Here is a 20,199-nt window from a genome sequence, read left to right on the forward strand (position 1 = left end):
TTCGTTTCAACCCTGGTGAGTCTGACAATCATGTGTTTTGGGTTGCTCTTCTTGAGGAGTATCTTAGTGGTGTTCTCTGTATTTCCTGAATTTGCATGTTGGCCTGTCTTGCTAGGTTGGGGAAGTTCTCCTGGATAATAACCAGAAGTGTGTTTTCCAACTTGGTTCCATTCTCCCTGTCACTTTCAGGTACACCTATCAATTGTATGTTTGTTCTTTTTACATAGTCCCATATTTCTTGGAGGCTTTGTTCATTCATTTTCATTCTTTTTTCTCTAATCTTTTCTTCATGCCTTATTTCAGTAAGTTGATCTTCAATCTTTGATATCCTTTCTTCCACTTGATTGATTCCACTATGGATACTTGACGAAGTTCTCGTCCTGTGTTTTTCAGCTCCATCAGGTCATTTATGTTCCTCTCTAAACTGGTTATTCTAGTTAACAGTTCCTGTAACCTTTTATCAAGGTTCTTAGCTTCCTTGCTTTGGGTTAGAACATGCTCCTTTAGCTCAGAGGAGTTTGTTATTACCCACCTTCTGAAGCCGTCATCAATCTCATTTTCTGTTCAGTTTTGTGCCCTTGTTGGAAAGGAGTTGCTGTCATTTGGAGGAGAAGAGGAATTCTGGTTTTTGGAATTTTCAGCGTTTTTGCACTGGTTTTTCCTCATCTTCATGGATTTATCTACCTTTGATCTTTGATGACCTTTGGATGGGATTTTTGTGTGGGAGTCCTTTATGTTGACATTGATGATGTTGCTTTTTGTTTGTTAGTTTTTCTTCTAACAGATCCCTCTTCTGCAGGTCTGCTACAGTTTGCTGGAGGTCCACTCCAGATGCTATTCGTCTGGGTATTACCAGTTGAGGCTGCAGAACAGCAAAGATCACTGCCTAGTCCTTCCTCTGGAAGCTTCGTCCCAGAGGGGCACTGGCCAGATGCCAGCCAGAGCTCTCCTGAATGAGGTGTCTGTCGACCCCTGTTGGGAGGTTTCTCCCAGTCAGGAGGCACTGGGGTCAGGGACCCACTTGAGGAGGCAGTCTGTCCCTTAGCAGAGCTGGTGCGCTGTGCTGGGAGAATCCCTCTTGTCAGAATCAGCTGCTCTCTTCAGAGCCAGCAGGCAGGAAGGATTAAAGCCACTGAAGCTGCACCCACAGCTGCCCCTTCCCCCAGGCACTCTGTCCCATGGAGATGGGGATTATGTCTGTAAGCCCCTGAGTGGGGCTGTTACCTTTCCTTCAGAGATGCCCTGCCCAGTGAGGAGGAATCTAGAGAAGCAGTCTGGCCACAGCCACTTTGCTGTGTCCAGCCCAGACCTCCCAGCTCCTTAGTACTGTCAGGAGAAAACTGCCTACTAAAGCCCCAGTAATGGCGGACAGCCCTCCCCCCACCAAGCTCGATCATCCCAGGTCAACTTCAGACTGCTGTGCTGGCAGTGAGAATTTCAAGCCCGTGGTTCTTAGCTTGCTGGGCTCCATGGGAGTGGGACCCACTGAGCAAGACCACTTGGCTCCCTGGCTTCAGCCTCTTTTCCAGGGGATTGAACAGTTCTGTCTCACTGGGGTTCAGGCGCCACTGGGGTATGAAAAAATAGTCCTGCAGCTAGCTCAGTGTCTGCCCAAACAGCCACCCAATTTTGTGCTTGAAACCCAGGGCCCTGGTGGTGTAGGCATACGAGGCAATCTCCTGATCTGCAGATTGCAAAAACTGTGGGAAAAGTGTAGTAACCCAGCCAGGTAGCACAGTCCCTCATGGCTTCCTTTGGCTTGGGGAAGGAGGTCCCTGGCTCCTTGCAATTCCCAGGTGAAGCAATGCCTCACCCAGCTTCTGTTCATCCTCTGTGCATTGGACCCATTGCCTAACCAGTCCCAATGAGATGAAGTGGGTACCTCAGTTGGAAATGCAGAAATTACCCACCTTCTGCATTGGTCTCTTTGGGAGCTAGCTGCAGACTGGAGCTGTTCCTATTCGGCCATCTTGGTCCCTCTCACAAAGTGATTTTTAAGAACATAAAAGATTGCCAAATAAATATGATTCTATCTTATAATTTTAGTTTGTAATTGGAATTTTTCAAAGTTTCTAAAAAGTTTCTTTTAGGGCACCTTTCAGCTGTCTTGTCTTTTTGTCAAAGAACAGTTTTAGAACTATGTTATCTTGACTGACCTATTATTTTGAAAGTCTCACTGAAAATTAGAATAAGATATTTAAAGTACATACTTTCACCCGAGTTTTGCATGATGCATGATGCTGGGATAAGTGGTTTACAAAATATATTTAAAATATTCCTATCCTATGGATCTTATAACTAGCACTAGTAAAACTGAGGTGACTCAATGCTTTGCCCTTTTATTATCCAATAAATATACCAGATGAAAAAGAAAATAGAATATTTACACCAAATACATTCACTAATATAAACATGTTTGTTGAAGAGTTAGGATTTACATATTCACATTGGATCAAGATAGAAACAGAATTGGGAGGACAAGAGATTTCACTTTCATACTTGGTAGTTCAGACATCCTTGTTAAAGAGTTCAATCTACTTTGATAGCAGGGGAAATTTTTGTTTCTGAGGAATTTCGGTGCTCTGAGGTAGAAAAGGAATATATATAGGATCTCAGACAATTGGAATTCCCATGACCTCCCAGGTGCTGAGGGTTGAATCTCCAGGCCCTCCCACGGGCCCTCAGCCTGGAGCTCCCGACAGCCACTTCTGGGTTGGGGTGGAAAGGCTTCAGGACCAGCAGGGAAGGGAAGGCCACAATGGAGTTTTGTATCCATGCATGTGGGTTATTTCTTCCCTGAAACCTGGAGACCAGAGGCTACCTAACTCAGACAATGTGAGTATTAAAAAACTTCCTGTAGCAATAAGAGCATCAAGAACATAAGACGCATTGTAGGATAAGAGCAAAAAAAAAAATTATTCAAGGACTCGAACTTAAGGGTTTTTTGAAGTTTTTGAAGGTTGTGAAAAAAACTGGACACGAGATGTTCAGTAATTGTTTTGGGAATTCTTTTCTTGGAAATATCACGCTCATTGTTAGCCAGGCAAAACAGACTTTCTTGGTTCTTAACTACACTTCAAATTTTAAAAAGGTATCTTATTTTGTTTTAATTATTTTAAATGCTATTATTTATTATCCCTTAATCAATATATCAATCTATCAAGTCATCAGAACATTTAGGAATTCAATCTTACTTTTATCTGGACAAGTTTAATTTCATCAAATCTTATATCAGCAAGAGATTTCCTTGTCTGGCCTCTTCGGTGTCCAAATTTACACTTATTTCTAATCACTTGCTCATCATCTTCTATGGGTCTTCGAACATATTTAAAGCGATCTTTGAGGGCTCGTTTCCATAAAAACTGTAAAATAAAACAGACCAGTTAATCTTCAAGGAGATTGAGATAATCCTATATAAACAATACGTCTATACAACAACAATACATACCTATCATCTTTGGGCTTGAAATTATTTTCACATCATGGTAATAGAAACAATATATCTATCCTTCCTTTTATCCTCACAGCAATCTTGTGACACTGCTACAGAAATTATAAACCCTAAGTTATAGGTAAGCAGACAAAGTCACAGAAATATAAATCTTTTCCCAATGTCATATGGTTATTGAGTAAATATATTGGTTCTTGAACCTGGATTTTCTAATTCCCAAAAGTGATACTTTCCACTATACTCTGTCTCCACAACCAATTCCATTTTTCTAGTGGGTTCTAGAAAAGACCTGATAGTGGCTTATGGATTGATGCATTTTCTTTAAAAATAATTTCCTGTCATCTTTTGAAATTTGTTTTGATGAGTACTATTGGCATTCACTCCCTAAGTGTGTGTGGTGCCTCTACTGTTTCAAACAAAAAGACCAACTCCCCACTCTGGGAGGGAGAAGGGTGTAGGTGGACCTCACTTTCAGTGTAGCAGAGGGATGAGTAATTTCAATATAGAGTGAAAAGTATTATAATAGGGGAAGATACATCATTCATTTACATTGTGTTAGGAGATCATAAAAGCCTTCCTGTAGGAAGTGAATCTAAACTGCGGCTTAGGTCTTAGGGTCAGGTAACTGCATGAAGGGATGGAGATAGCAATGGGAAATGCCAGTTGGGTAGATGCACAGAAGTTCCGGAAGGATGAAGCTGCAAGTGCAATGGAATAGAGGGAGAGCTGGTGCCCCTTAGAGAACTACCAAGAGTTGCGCGAGGCTGGAGCACAGAGCTCAAGATGAGGGAATGACAGAGGATGGGGTAAAAAATAAAGTGGGAGAGAGGAGCCAGCCCAATCATCAACGGCCATGGTCACCCCATTAAGGAACCTCAATGTAATCCTGAACCAGATCTTAAATCTGTCTCTGTGGACAGGCTGTATTAGAATCTCATAGGAACTTTTGCCCTTGGTCTTTCCTCTAAAGCAATGGTTCTCAAAATTTAGCCTGAATCAATTCCTGGAGGACCTGTTAGAGCACAGGTTGCTGAGCACCACTCTCAGCATCTCTGATTTTGAGGTCACGGGTAAGCTGAGAGTGTGCGTTTCTTGCAAGTTCCCATGTGATGCTGCTGCTTGCTACTGTTCGGGAGATTGGAATGGAGCCCAGATGTCTGTATTTTTTAAACCTCTACAGAGAATTCGTCAGAACAGCCAGGTTAGGAAGTCTTCCTAGGCCATGTTGAGTTGGGAGAGTGAATGGTCCAGATTTGAGCTCTGGAAGGATCTGTCTGGCATGTGGAGTTTTTGTGAGACCAGAGACATGGACAATACCTAGGAAGCACCCCTGGACTTCTACCTCAATATGCCAACATCTCTTCCACTGCTGGGCCTTCAGTTTGGGCCTGGAAAGCTTTATCCCTCTGTTCCCACACCTAGATGGTATGTAGTTAACCCTTGCTTTGCCTTCAGGTCTCAGCTTAGCCTGTGCTTCATGGAAGTGTCCTCTGGCTTCTGTAACAGCTTGGTGTTGGATCTCTCCTTTCTTCACTGGCACTTATCACAGTGGTAATCTACCCTCATCTATGTGATACTTTGTCTGTTTCTATTTATATTTCTTTTTCTTTTCTTTTCCTTTCTCTTTTCCCTCCTTCACTTCCTTCCTTCCTTCCTTTCCTCTAGGCTATAAGCACATAAAGAAAGGCTCATGCCTGCTTTGCCCACCAAGCCCAGCACGGTGCTTCATGCATGCTAGAAACTATAAATGTTTGATGTCTTGTGTCAATACTCTGTGAAGCAGGAGATGCAGGTGTCAGCATGACAGACCAGAAGCAAGACTCTGAGTCTTGGCAGTGCTTAGCTGGTAACTAACTCACTGCATGAGTGGTGGCTCAACCCTTCTTTTTTTTTTTAGACGGAGTTTCACTCTTGTTGCTCAGGCTGGAGTGCAATGGCGCAATCTTGGCTCACTGCAATCTCCACCTCCTGGGCTCAAGCGATTCTCCTGCCTCAGCCTCCTGAGTAGCTGGGATTACAGACATGTGCCACCACAGCCAGCTAATTTTTTGTATTTTTAGTAGAGACGAGGTTTCTCCATGTTAGTCAGGCTGGACTCAAACTCCCAACCTCAGGTAATCTGCGCACCTCGGCATCCCAAAGTGCTGGGATTACAGGCGTGAGCCACCACGCGCCCGGCTGGCCCAACCCTTCTTGAAGACAGTGCCTTAGGGCTGCTTCTGCTGCTCTTCTCCGCTGCAATGCCGTGTGATTGAATAGATCCCCACAGTGAGTGCGGGGAAGGGAAAAAAAAAAAAACCCCTGCAGGCATATGGGCCTGTGTTTCCCTCGAGCCCTGGCCAAGAGAGAAAGTGGTAAGTCGCCAAATGGCTTTGGGCATGTTTTCTAAGCTCTATTTCCTCATGGGCCAATGGGAATGACACCAAAATAACATTAGCCAAATGCTTGGCACTTAGATTTTGCCATTCCTGGTTATATGGTTTGTAAGTCCCAATGAGAGTAATCCCTGAAAGCACCATAGCCTAAGTTGGGAAGACTGCAGGTCCAAGTACTAGTGTGAATACATATCAGCCAAGTAACCCCTCTTAATTTTAGTTTCTTCAACTATAAAACGGAACAATAAGATCTGTCCTATCAACTGCACTAGCCTTTTGGGAGAGTGAGTAGCTACTCATAGAAGATATTTGTAAACTAAAGTGCTGTTTGTAAAGTCCTTCAACAGCCCTAGTAAGAAAGGCAGTGGTTGAGGGTTGGAGTATGGCTTCAGCACTGATTAAGCTCCCAGGTATGCATGAGTCAGAGGTGCCTTATCACCTCCCATAGGCTTGCTTGTGAGCCTGGACTTTACCATTGCTGTTTTACCACAGAACAGACAAAAAGAATGGCTTGTATTTTTCTTAGCCATGAAATATGAACTAAAGCAAGTATAGTACATTTTTTTTCCATATGTTTCCTGTAGCTCTGAAGGGTTTCTAAATGTGCTGAACCTGGTGGGAGGTATTATAGCAATCAACGGCTAGGACATTTTTAAATTGCCAATTTCTTCTTTCTAGCCTCTCCCATCTCTCCTTATTAACTGTCTGATAGGAACAGAAAAAGGACAAATCAAATACAATCTTCCACATGAGTATTCAATCAATGAATATTTACTGAGAATCTGCTATATGCCTGACACCATGAGTTACTTACGCAGACGCCTCAGGTAGGCAGACTCAGTAGGAAATATTTATGTTATAGAATAATCATCCCTCTCCTCCATGTTTCCAGCTAGAGAGGGTGTAGAAAGTTCTACATGAAGACAGCTCTCCGTCAACCACTCTGAAATAAAAAATGGCCCTGAAATTGCAGACCTCCTGTTGTGACATATGAAGCAGTCCACAGCATCACGAGCAGATCTTTGCACATTCAAATGCAGAATGTGGACCGTCTTACATGGCAACTGGACTAGACTTGTCCAAAAAGCAAATATCCAGAAAAATAAAAAAGGGTATGGAGAGACTGTCTAGGCAAAAAAAAAAAAAAAATTAAAGAGACATAATAACGAATGCAATGCATAATACTCAATTAGATATTATAGCAAAAAACTATCTTTAAAACATTTTTGAAAAATTGGAGAAATGTGAATATGGATTGTATATGATATTATGCACTTATTGCTAATTTTCTTGGGTATAAGAATGGTATTGTGGTTATATAAGAGATTGTCCTTATTCTTTTTTTTTTTTTTTTTTTGGAGATGAAGTCTCGCTCTTGTCCCCCAGGCTAGAGTACGACGACACTGATCTTGGCTCACTGCAACCTCTGCCTCCTGGGTTCAAGCGATTCTCCTGCCTCAGCCTCCCGTGTAGCTGGGAATACAGTTACCTGCCACCATGCCCAGCTAATTTTTGTGTTTTTAGTAGAAACGGGGTTTCACCATGTTGGCCAGGATGGTCTTGAACTCCTGACCTCAGGTGATCCACCCGCCTCAGCCTCCCAAAGTGCTAGGATTACAGGCGTGAACCACCGTACACGACCTTTTTTTTTATTATTATTATTTTTGAGACAGGGTTTTGCTCTGTCATCCAGGCCGGAGTGCAGTAGTGCAATCATAGCTCACTGCTGTCTCAACCTCCTGGGCTCTAGTGGTCCTCCCACCTCAGCCTCCCAAGTAGCTGAGACTACAGGCTCATGCCACCATACCTGGCTAATTTTTTTTTTTTTTTTTTTTTTTTTTTTGTAGGGATGGGGTTTTACCATGTTGCCCAGGCTGGTCTTGAACTCCTGGGATCAAGTGATCCGTCCGCCTTGGCCTCCCAAAATGCTGAGATTATAGGCGTGAACCACCACTCCCAGCTGTTCTTATATATGTTATGGTGTTTAGGGATGACATCTGCAACTTGCTTTTAAATGCTCAACCAAAACAAACAAACAAGCAAACAAATATGACAGAAGAAAAATAAATGTGGCAAAAAAATCCCTAATCTAGATCAGTAACTCTCAGCCAGTGACGTGATGTTGCTCCTCTCCCTCCCCTTGTTTGGTTTTGTTGTTGTTGTTGCTTTGTTTTGTTTTTTAAGAGAAATTTTGCTTTATTCTGTAGTGTGCTTACTTTAGTGATGTTTGGGGACATGTCTGGTTGTTACAACTGGGTGGACAGAGTGCTACTCACACCTAGTGGGTGCCAGGGATGCTACTAAATATACTTCAATGTACTAGACAGTCCCCAGCAGAAAGAATTATCCAGCCCCAAAGGTAAACAGTCAAGAGGTTGAGAAAATCCATGTTGTTAGGAGTATATGCATATCAATGTAGCATTCTTTCAACTTTTGTTCAGATTTGAAACTTTTCTTTTCTTTTTTCTTTTTCTTTCTTTCTTTTTTCTTTTGAGACGGAGTTCCGCTCTTGTTACCTGGGCTGGAGTGCAATGGCGTGATCTCAGCTCACTGCAACCTCGGCCTCCCGGTTCAAGCGATTCTCCTGCCTCAGCCTCCTGAGTAGCTGGGATTAAAGGTGCCCACCACCATGCCCGGCTAATTTTTGTATTTTTAGTAGAGAGAGAGTTTCACCATGTTGGCCAGGCTGGTCTCAAACTCCTGACCTCAGGTGATCTGCCCGCCTTGGCCTCCCAAAGTGCTGGGATTATAGGCATGAGCCACCGTACCCGGCCCCAAATTTTTCAAAATTAAGAGTTAAAAATAAACTTAGCCCTAAAAATAACCAAGTTTGTGCACCCTTTTTCTTTCTCCACCCCTGCCTCCCATTAATGTTCTCTGAAATTTTGTACATTTTCCACTGTAACATTAGAAACACAACCTCACACACACTCGCAGGGAGAATTTGGGTAAACATCCATCCAGGCACCAGAGTTTCTCCTTCTACTCTATGAGTGCAAATCTGAGCCCTAATCTGCTAAGCAATTTTGCACACATCTCTTTATCAGTTAACGGTCCTTAGTGAATGTCACTGGGAACAGATGTGGATAAAATGGACACAAGAGCAAAGAAAGCATTATTTGTTACTTTGTACATGTCTCACTTTGATAACCATCAAACTAAAGGTCAAAAGGTATTGAATCAATATGGATTTGCTTAGGTATATGCAAAGATTCTCTAGAGGGACTCTAATAGTATTGGTTACTTATGGGGAGGAAAATTAGGTGGCTGCAGAAGCAAGGGCGGGTGGGAAACTTTTCTATTTATACCCTTTTGTAGTTTTTGAATTTTGAGCTATGTAAATATGTAATTTATTCAAACAGTAAATGTAAATTTAAAAAAAAAACACAAGTTCTATCCTGGCTAACATGGTGAAAATCCATGTCTACTAAAAATACAACAAATTACCTGGGCGTGGTGGGGGGCACCTGTAGTCCCAGCTACTCGGGAGGCTGAGGCAGGAGAATGGCGTGAACCCATGAGGCGGAGCTTGCAGTGAGTCGAGATCGTGCCACTGCACTCCAGCCTGGGCGACAGAGCAAGACTCTGTCTCAAAAAAAAAAAAAAAAAAAAAAACCACAAGTTCTATACACAGTAACACTGATTAGACATTAAGTTGGTAGATGTATCTCCAGTGTAGAAGAAATTCCGAGAATCAGTTTTGTCAGCCATATTGACATGATTGTCAATGTTGGGATGCCAGGTTTGTGTAGTATTGTTGTTGTTGCCTTGTTTTTTTTCCTTCGCTTTGTTTTGTTTTTTTAGAGGAAATTCAGTTTCTTCTGTAGTGCACTTTATATGCAGCAGCATATTTTGGAAAGGATGTCATCCTAGAAGCAAGAATACCTGAATTCTAATCTTGGCTTCAATAACTATCATTTTTCCAGACATGGTATACAACATCTTTCCTCAGTCTGAGTGGTGAAAAAAACCTTTAATTACCTCTCCCACTGAGAAAATTCTGTGATTCTCTCCATATATAATGAACCTTTTCTTGAAAATACAAAAAAAGAAGGAAGAAAGGAAGGAAGGAAAGAAGGAAGGAAGGGAGGGAGAGAGGGAGGGAGGGGTAAATACAAATAAGGAAGGAAGAAAGGAAGGAGGGAAGAAAGAAGGAGGGAGGGGAGGGAGGAAGGAAGGAAGGAAGGAAAGAAGGATGGAAGGAAAGGAGGAAGGGAGGGAGGAAACAGAGCCTTAAAATGTCTTTATATTCATAGATAATTGGCATTTATCCTTTGTTGTTCTTGGAAATAATTGCTGAAATTCCATGTCCTTAAGAAAGCACAGCAAAAAATATCTTTTCACAGACATCTGAGACAGTAAAGCACAAAAAGACATCTATCTTCTTTAGATATGCCTACCAATGTGTATGCATATGGCATATAGAGATACAGGGAATAATAGACCATCTACCTTTTTGTATACATAGCTACAGTTCCTTGTAATTGTTCCTTAACTCATAAAGTTACAGCATCATAAACACTCAGTTTTTTATTAACTATTCTTAGGTACAGTTCAATAGTGTTGATTATATTCACATTGTTGTGCAATGAAGACAGTGGTCTTTGAAATCCAGGAGACAGGCAGGTTCAAACAGCAAACTTTGTGTTGAAACGTCAGCGGCAGTGGTTCTCAGCCGTGGTTGTACATTAGAATAATCCCATCCTCAAATTAATTCAATCTGAATCTCTAGGAATCCTAATGTGCAACCAGAGCTTAGAACTGCTGCCCCAGAGAATTGCTTGAACCCAGGAGGCGGAGGTTGCAGTGAGCTGAGATCGCGCCACTATACTCCAGCCTGAGTGAGAGAGCGAGACTCCGTCTCAAAAAAAAAAAAAGGAAAAAAAAAAAAAAGAACTGCTGCCCCAGAGCATCCTGAGGGTCTGTTTTTATCAGGACAGAAAGCAGAGATCTGACAGGGCCAGGTAAGGCTGGAGGCCCAGACCTCAAAGCCAGACAACAGCTCCACTGGGTCTGAGAAGGCAAGAAACACTTGATGACAGCTCCGAAGCAGGTGCAGCCATGTCTTTCTCTTTCTATGTGTCACATCTCCTAAAGACCCTTCCTAACCCTTAAAACCCTTAAGACTCTAAAGCGAACAGCTCAATTTTAGCAACTTTATATGCTTGTGCAACCATAATCACTATCCATTTTGGCCACCCTCAGCCCTAGGCAACTCCTGATCAGCTCTGTTGCACTGAGCTTCCAGTTTTGACAGGACAGCAACATGATGACAGAGAGAGACAAAGAAGACAAAGAAACACAGGGCAGAGAGAGACCAAGAAGTTATGAAAAAGGGAAGACAAGGAGACAGAGAGAGAAAGAGAGAGAGCCAGAGAGAGAGAGAGCGCAAAGTCAAGAAAGAAGCATGGACTAACAGAAAGTGAAAGACAGAAACAAAGTTGGAGAGAGATTAAAGAGACAAAGAGTCAGAAAAACAGAAACAGATAGACCTAGATACATAGACAGAATGAGAGAGAGAGAGAGAGACACCAAGAAAAGATGGGTGAAGCATAAAATTACTGGGCAACACAAGGCAATTATTTTAAGATAGTCTGAAATTAACAGGATGGTGCCATGTGGTCACTTACGAAGCCACAGCCATCCTCATCCAGGAAAGGGTGGGCCTGCAGCAGGGCATTAACCACGTCATTGTACTGCTGGGTGCTGGGGTACCTGTTCACCAAAACAAGGAGGATATGTTTCACTTCAAGCAAACCACATTCCTTCCTTTAAGATGAGTCTAATTACACTCATTTTTCTTCACATTTTTCTATATAACAAAAAGAGATTTAAATATTGGGCAATTGGGACCTATTACCAATATATCATCCACAATCTGAAGAGAGTTGATTCCACAGGAATTCTACTCTATTCTGAAACAGACCCTTTCCCAAAGCAGCAAGCTTGTCCTGTTGTCACTCACAGTGAGCCTTCCAGATACTTAGTCATGTCGGCCTGGAGAAACTCAATGATCCTTATCCTCATGCTGTGATCCGGGCACTTCTGCTCTGCTAACATGCATTTGACATCATAGGGAAACTCTGGTAAAACATAGGACTTCGTCCACTGTAATGCTTTGCTTCTTGCTAGAATTTGTTTCACATTTCTTCTGTGAAATAAAAACACACAAAGAATGAAATTCTATTCCAAATATATGCAGTTTATTAATTTGCTACATCCTGAGAACTTATGAAATAAACAACTTTCCTGAGACCCAAATATATGGAAGTCATCAAGCCATCTTCCATCCATTCATCCATCCACAAATGTTTGAAGGCTCATTAAGTGTCTTTGTCCATTCACACAACACATAAATATGTATTCTTTAGAAAAAGTCATAATAATATAGACTTTAGAATAAAGCCTGAAGTTGAAATGCATACTAATTCATTTTTCTTAAAGAGAAAATGTAATGCATAGCTCAAAACTAGACAATATACTTAACAAAAAGAAAATACATTGCAATTCAGCAAAGCAAATGAGGCCTACCATAAAGTCTTAGCACCTGTTAAGAAAATTCTTCTAATTAATTTATTCTGCTGTTGTTTATAATTAAATACAAGATCCACCTAATTTAGTTTGTCTTTGCCTATTTTGATAAGGTGAACTTAGTTTCCAAATTAAATATAAGTAACAGATATTCCGATTCTATCCAGATGAAATTTCTATGAAGGGCTACAGAAAACTATAACTACAGAAGGCAGATCAGGAGTTGCCTGGGGATGAGGGTGGATAAAATGGGTAGTGATTATTTGTTGTACAAGCATATAAAGCTGCTAAAATTAACTGAGCTATTCACTTTTTTATTTTTTATTTTATTATTATTATTTTTTAAGATGGAGTCTCACTCTGTCGCCAGGCTGGAGTGCAGTGGCACGATCTCAGCTCACTGCAACCTCCGCCTCCTGGGTTCAAGTGACTCCCCTGCCTCAGCCTCCCAAGTAGCTGGGACTACAGGCATGTGCCACCACACCTGGCTAATTTTTTGTATTTTAGTAGAGATGGAGTTTCACCATGTTGGCCAGGATGGTCTCAATCTCCTGACCTCGTGATCTGCCCACCTTGGCCTCCCAAAGTGCTGGGACTACAGGCCTGAGCCACTGCATCTGCCCAATTTTTTTTTTTTTTTTTTTTTAGACAGAGTCTTGCTCTGCCATCCAGGCTGGTGTGCAGTGGTGCAATCACAGCTCACTGCAGCCTTGACCTCCTGGTCTCAAGCAATCTTCCCACTTCAGCCTCCCAAATAGCTGGGACTACAGGCACGTGCCACCATGCCCAGCCAATATTTTTTATTTTTTGTGGAGATGGGGTCTCACTATGTTGCCCAGTTTCATCTCGAACTCTAGGCTCAAGTGATCCTCTTGCTGTGGCTTCCCAAAGTGTCGGGATTACAGGCATGAGCCAACACAGCTAGCCTCTTGTTCACTTTAAATGGGTGAACTTTATGCTATGTAAATGAAATGTCAATAAGGCTGTTTATAAAATTATCAGAACAATGTTCAAGCCTTAAAGTTAGTGACTGACCACTGAGTATGCAAAATGAAGACTCTATAATATTAATAAAGTGTCCAAGTAACAATTAATCAAAGGCACTAGGTAGCTCTTAACCCATTTATAAATAGGATCGATTTGTGGTGGAAGTAAAGAAACAGAGGCAAGCCAAGTAGAAGACAACAGGAAGATTTCCTAAATTGGCCTAAGTAGGTTAATTTTCTGATGACCATGGAACCTTTAGTGGCCCAAGCAACATTCAGATGAATTTTGAAAGACTAGGATTCTTTTAGCATTTTAGGTCATCCTTTATAAGAATGCACGAGCTATAATGTGATATGGAGAATCAAGCACACAGGAGAAAGCACTCTCACATCTATTTTTATGATAAGCTCCCTTTCCTTTTTTCCCCCTTTGGCGGTCCCTACTATATCAGTGGCGAAATTATGTCCTGGCTAAAATAAGCACACCAGTATTTAATACTTGACCCAATACCACAACAGGATATTTCCAGATGTAAGTCTCCGCTGCAGCCCAATCTATTTTCTAGTATGTTTCTCTTTCATTTTGTTCATTCATTCAACCAGTATTTATTAGGGGTCTACTAAATGCGAATTACTCTTTCACAATCCTCATTTTCTTCCATATTCTATTACTTTGTTTCTTTCTCCCATGGCCAAATTACCTCTCCTGTATCTACTGAGACCTAGAAGTATAAAGTAATGGCCAGTTTTGTTGGATGTCTTTTGTGCCTTCCTGGGATTTTTTTTTTTTTTTTTTTTTGAGACGGAGTCTTGCTCTGTCACCCAGGCTGGAGTGCAGTGGTGCAATCTCGGCTCACTGCAACCTCCGCCTCCCGGGTTCAAGCGATTCTCCTGCCTCAGCCTCCTGAGTAGCTGGGACTACAGGCGCATGCCACCGTGCCTGGCTAATTTTTTTTATTTTTAGTATAGACAGTGTTTCACCATGTTGGCCAGGATGGTCTCAATCTCCTGACCTTGTGATCTGCCCACCTTGGCCTCCCAAAGCGCTGGGATTACAGGTGTGAGCCACCGTGCCTGGGCCTTCCTAGCATTTTTTAAAAGCGATGTAACTTGGCAGGTGTTAAGCTGGTTTCAGTAATCTTAGCATCTATTTCCTTTTCCCCAGTGATTTTCAAGTAGCTAAATTAGCTGCCTGCCGGGTCCAGGTTTTTGAAGTTGTTATGTTACTTAGTACCACCTCAACAGATAAGTTCAATGTTCCAGTGTTATAAAATAAAGCTCGTTACACTGTTTGTCTTTTTATTCTACATACTTTCCCTCCTTTTTTTTTTCAGTGTCGGGGCGGAGACTATACTGCATGGTATTATTTCTATCAAACATCCACAATGTAGCTAGACATATAAAGGATCCAAGGAGACAGATACTCCATCTTGCTCTAAATAGAGGTATTAGGAAAGATCAGAAGCATCAAATTTTCATTTTCTTTACATTAAAACAATGTAAGAAGATATTCTGGAATTGACTAAAAACCAACCCATGCCACCTAATACCAGTCAAAATGAGTATTACACACGAAAAGTGACTCATCAGAAATTAAAAATACATTCTAATTTGGAAGCAGATAACTGCAGGCAAAATCATTTCTCATCTGTAAAATTATATTTGCATTGGATTAAAAAAAGCTTTACTGTGAGGTTAAGATTATTCATAATATTTTTATTAAGCTAGAATTGGGCAGAACACCATAATAAGTCAGCCAAAAGTAAGGGCAGGGAGCAGACAGCAGTTCAACCCAAAGGATGGTTATATTACTGTTCCCACCTCAGAACCAGGCTCTTCGACAAAATCAGCACCACAAAGCAACAGATCTCTAACCCAAGGTATCTCAATCCTGGGTGCACAGTAGAATCAACTAGGAAGCTTTTAAAACATGTTAATGCCTACAGTTGGCCCCCGGCTAACTGAATCAGAGTTCACTGCTTACTAAATTCTCAGCTTATGTGTAGAGCTTATATTTGCAATAAAATAAAACTTATAATAAAGTTAAGACAACACATTTGATACTTGGCCATATCATTATTGTATTAGGTGCTAATTTAAAAAATGATTAGATGGCATTTTCATAAAAAAGCTAACTGACTCTCCAACATTTTCTAACTTTAGTAAGAGTGAAAAAATATCCAATTCTTTCCCTGCTTCCAAAGAGCATATGGTATACTCTGATGAGGCTCACACAGGGTAGGAAAGATGGCTCTGTTAAGAACGGGCTCAGGTGAGCACCAGCTCTCTAAGGAACAATCTGAAAGCACAGAAGAACAGCAGTTGGTAGGGAGCAGAAGAAACACAGATGTTACATGAGGGCGGGGACTTTTTGTTTAATCTCCAGTATATATAACATTGCTTAGCAGAGTTGATAACACAGTGATTTTTTGTTGAAAGAATAAACCAGGCATCTGAAAGAAGTAGCTACCTAAGCAGGGCTGAATTTGATGTGGTCTCGGCAAAGATGTGGACACTTCACTGGTCCGTGATTGCATTCATTACCCTGTAGATTCGGCTCCCCATTTATGCTCCAGGCATGTCTTTGAAATCACCTTCATCCTGCTTTTCCCTAACCTCTCTTACCTCAATCTCTTCCCAATCACCTCACCGGGACTGCTTCCTCTAAAGTCAATAATGATTTCCTGATTGACAAATTCAGGGCCTTTGACCATAACTTTTTACAAGAGCTTCATAACTGCATTTAGTGTTATTGACTACTTCCTCACACCCCTTTTCTTCCTTAACTTCCTTGACACTGTTTCATTTTCCTGCTTCTCTTCCAATCTCTCTGACAACTTGTTTATTTGCTGATTTATACCTCCTTTACTTTCTGTGAGAATTTGCACATGGCTTGGTTCCTGCCCCCTTAATCCTCTGTATTGATTTTTGCTTTCTTCCTCAGAGAACTCATCCAGCCCCATGGCCTCAGCTCTGAGCTTTATGTTGATGGATTGTAAATCTATCATCAATAATCTGTTCTCCATGCTCCATCTTAGATCTCCAACAACAACTTGTACATTGTTCATCTCATACTCAACAAATCCAAAATAATTCACAATCTTTAAAAAAACCAAAAAAAAAAAAAAACCAAAAAACAAAAACTAGGCTCTCATTTTCTAGGAACTGAATTGTGTTCCTTTCAAATTCTATATGTTGAAGCCCTAACCTCCAACGTGACTGTACTTGGAGACAGACCTTTATGGAAGTAATTTAGTTAAATGAAATCATAAGGTTGGGCCCTGAGATGACGGGATTGGTATTCTTAAAAGATCTGTATGCCATGTGAGGTCAGAGAGAAAATGTAGCCATCTGCAAGTGAAAAAGAGGGTCCTCAACAGAAATGGAAGAGGTCAGTGCCTTGATCTCAGGCTTACGGCCTCTAGAACCACCAAAAAATAAATTTCTATGTTTAGGTCACCAAGTCTATGGTATTTGTTTGGCAGCCTGTGCGGACTAACACAGAATTCCAATTTCCTTGTTTCTTTTACTGTACCCGTTTCTGTTAGCAACTCAAGCTTAACATCGTGATGTCTTTCACCTTCATTTTTCACTCCTAAGTGTCATGAAATTTTCCCTACATTTTATCTCTGTATTTATTTACTTATTTCCATGGTTCATGCTACTACACTAATCCAAGTATTCGCCACTCAAATGTGGACTGCTTCAGTAGTCTCCTAGCAGAGTTCTGCTGGAATGGCTTAATGAGCTCCCACTGGACCAGCTGTCTCAGAAACATTAACCATAAACATTAAACACATTTTAAAAAAATTAACTGAAAACACTGAAATGTGAAAAACAGAATGCAGGTTTTGAAAAGAAGCCTACACTTAGAACAAGAGGAAGACACTGGGCCTTTGATGAGGTTCCCTTTTCATGGCTTTTGGCCTGAAGGCAGGCCTCATGCTGTGCTGCCAAAACTCTAATAGAAAAACCTGTAGTATTTCTGGACTCAAAGACTTGGGGGCAGGATTTCGGGCAACCCATTATGTGGAAAAGGAGAGGAAAACCCCAGAAAAGAATGAGCTAATGAGGGAAAACTCCACAATCTGTGTATAAACTGTTCAAATCTCTGGATGATCCTGAACTACACATGTGCATAACTGGACTAAAGATAAAAGAACTCAACAGATTTTAACTGACACCAGGAGACTGAGTTTTCCACGTGAGTCCAACCAATTTTGCGGTTTCCTAGAACAAAATGTCAACGCTCTTTGGGCGAACACAACAGATTCAAGAGACTCCACACTGTAACATTCATATTTAATCCAAAATTATGTAACGTACAAAAAAAAAACCCAGAAAATGTAATCCATCCTCAAGAGTAAAGATAATCATTAGAATGTGATGCTAAGATGAACCAGATGTCGGCAAGGATTTTAAAGCGGCCATTCTAACAATGTTCAGTGAATTAAAGGCATATAGGCCAGAATGACTGAAATGATAGGAAAATTTAGCAAAGAAATAGAAATTGTTTAAAAGAAACAAATAGAAATTTAGAAGAAAAAAATACAAAATTTGAAATTAAAAATTGTACTAGATAGGATTAATAGCAGAATGGAGATTTAGGAGGAAATAGTCATTGAATTTGAAGACAGATCAACAGAAATGATCCAATCTGAAAAACACTGGGAAAAGAGATTAAAAAAAAATAAGAAAAGTAGCTCATTTTTTCTAATTGCAGCTCCTCACAATTTATCCCCCTATATAGCCATAAACCCTTCTCCTCTGTGATCCATCATCCAATTTTACATAAACACCGATTTAATCATGTCGGTCAGTGGAGGGGCCAGGTAGAGCTGGCCAATGGCTTCCAGGGCTACTTTTGGAACCAAGACATAGTTGAAGGTCCAAGCAAAATAAGGCAATCTTGCTTGACACTATAATCATGTCCAATTTCAAACACTATTTCTGGTACTGAAACACCACTGGGAACCAATGTAGAATTTAACTTCAAATTTAAAAGTCCCATAGTTTAAAGACCAAGTATATAGAAGACCTGCAAGTCCACATTCAATACTTGACCATACTAGATATCTGCCTTTTGCATGATTTCACATTTTCCAACTGTCATATGCATGATAATCTTCCTGTTTGCCGACAATGTAACCCATATATATATTGAGTGACATGGGTGATTCAGGATTCTTCTACCCCCAACAATTAGACACCGTGAGAGTTTACTATGCAGTGAGAGTTTACTATGTCAGTCTCTTTGACCAATTAACATCTTCAGTATGTGGTCTCCCTGAGAGGAGAGTTACTGCTTCCTATTTCTGAGGACAACTGTGAGCCAGGCCCATCCCTTAATTATCATCCCTTTGGGTTCCTGGGGCTCCCCAGGAAGAGGAAAATAACTATGATTTGTTGACATGTTTGGATATAAACATTCGCATTTGGAAGGAAAACTGAGTCTGTTCTCTGTATTTAAACCCCTTTTGGAGCTATTGAGTGTTTGGCAGTTATTTTATCCCCATGAAAGTAGATAATATTGCCTTAGGGAAAAAGTAAGCTCTTGAATTTTCAAACTAGAAAGCTTCAGTATTTCTTTTCGAATTAGAGGAAGCTTAAGAGTTTAAAACTGTTGCTTCCTTCCTTTTTTTTTTTTTTAACTGAGCCGCAGTTTCTCGCTTTGTTGAAATTGGTGCTTCCAATTTCATTGACTTAAATTTAAAGGAATTTTTTCATTCTCTTTTTACTTCTACAAATAAAACAGGTGATAGGATTTTAAAATTCTATGAGAAAAATAAAAGTCAATGGTCTGTAATTTCTTAAAATCCCAAATTTGAATTCTTCATATTTACTAATTAGAAGTTTTTGTACTCTCTTATTATCAACTGCTACACAATGTGAATTCTCAGATCCAGTCCAGACACAAGCCTTACTAAATCTCCAGAATGCACTATGCATGTGTTAGCAGTTTCTTCGCTTACTTTGTTGCCCTCAGTTGCCCTCATTCTTCTAGGTTTATCTCAAGCCTTCTTCTCAGGTAGATTTTACTCACTGCCACACTCCTGCCATGCATGTGGTTCTCCTCATCTGAATCCCCCACCTGGCCTGGTCCAACACTGGCCCTGTGAGCACTCAACTACATCTAGTCTCCTTATCTGTCTTGATTTTCCTACGTCCTTGTTGAATGAAATAGTTTGTGACAAAAATATTGTAGAAAGGTTTAGCAATGCTTGAGAAAGATATAAAATATCAAATATAACATTGTATGATTGATAAAGATGGTCTGTAGTTCTATAAACTTGTGTTTTCTTTTCTTTTTTAAGAGACAGGTGTCAGGCCTCTGAGCCCAAGCTAAGCCATCATATTCCCTGTGACCTGCACATACACATCCAGATGGCCGGTTTCTGCCTTAACTGATGACATTCCACCACAAAAGAAGTGAAAATGTCCTGTTCCTGCTTTAACTGATGACATTGTCTTGTGAAATTCCTTCTCCTGGCTCATCCTGGCTCAAAAGCTCCCCCACTGAGTACCTTGTGACCCCCACTCCTGCCCACCAGAGAACAACCCCCCTTTTTCCTTTACCTTCCCAAATCCTATAAAATGGCCCCACCCCATCTCCCTTCGCTGACTCTCTTTTTGGACTCAGCCACCAGCACCCAGGTAAAATAAACAGCCATGTTGCTCACACAAAGCCTGTTTGGTGGTCTCTTCACACGGTCGCGCATGAAATTTGGTGCCGTGACTCGGATCGGGGAACCTCCCTTGGGAGATCAATCCCCTGTCCTCCTGCTCTTTGCTCCGTGAGAAAGATCCACCTACGACCTCAGGTCTTCAGACCAACCAGCCCAAGAAACATCTCACC

The 20,199-nt window shown here is 41.0% G+C and overlaps 1 protein-coding gene across 12 annotated transcripts in view, besides 2 other annotated features; it reads right to left on the reverse strand.

Moving 5' to 3' along the window:
* The window catches only part of SAMD3 (sterile alpha motif domain containing 3), a 223,117-nt gene that overhangs the window by 29,895 nt on the left and 173,023 nt on the right, over nt 1–20,199 (reverse strand). For 9 of the 12 annotated variants that reach the window (XR_001743174.3, XM_047418239.1, XM_024446335.2 and 6 more), the window contains 3 exons: nt 11,792–11,977; nt 11,457–11,541; nt 3,195–3,362 (listed from right to left, as the gene is read on the reverse strand). Coding sequence is in view for 11 of the 12 variants with exons in the window: in XM_047418239.1 (XP_047274195.1) it covers nt 3,195–3,362; nt 11,457–11,541; nt 11,792–11,977 (439 nt within the window). In the remaining variant the exon portion in view is untranslated. Of the gene's footprint in view, nt 1–3,190; nt 3,363–3,448; nt 3,544–9,425; nt 9,696–11,456; nt 11,542–11,791; nt 11,978–20,199 lie in introns of those variants that run through there. The other 3 variants (XM_017010309.3, XM_017010305.2, XM_017010310.3) reach the window with 3 other exon arrangements.
* Nucleotides 4,721–4,920: a silencer, noted in NCBI's record as "fragment chr6:130498512-130498711 (GRCh37/hg19 assembly coordinates)". NCBI's record gives its function as "represses an EF-1alpha promoter that drives an FKBP-Casp9 reporter gene in an ReSE screen in K562 erythroleukemia cells {active_cell/tissue: K562}" and the evidence as "EXISTENCE:reporter gene assay evidence [ECO:0000049][PMID:32094911]".
* Nucleotides 11,277–11,326: an enhancer, noted in NCBI's record as "active region_25056". NCBI's record gives its function as "activates an Ori minimal core promoter by ATAC-STARR-seq in GM12878 lymphoblastoid cells {active_cell/tissue: GM12878}" and the evidence as "EXISTENCE:reporter gene assay evidence [ECO:0000049][PMID:35858748]".

Source organism: Homo sapiens, chromosome 6 (genome assembly GCF_000001405.40).
Source record: "Homo sapiens chromosome 6, GRCh38.p14 Primary Assembly".
Lineage (NCBI taxonomy): Eukaryota > Metazoa > Chordata > Mammalia > Primates > Hominidae > Homo > Homo sapiens.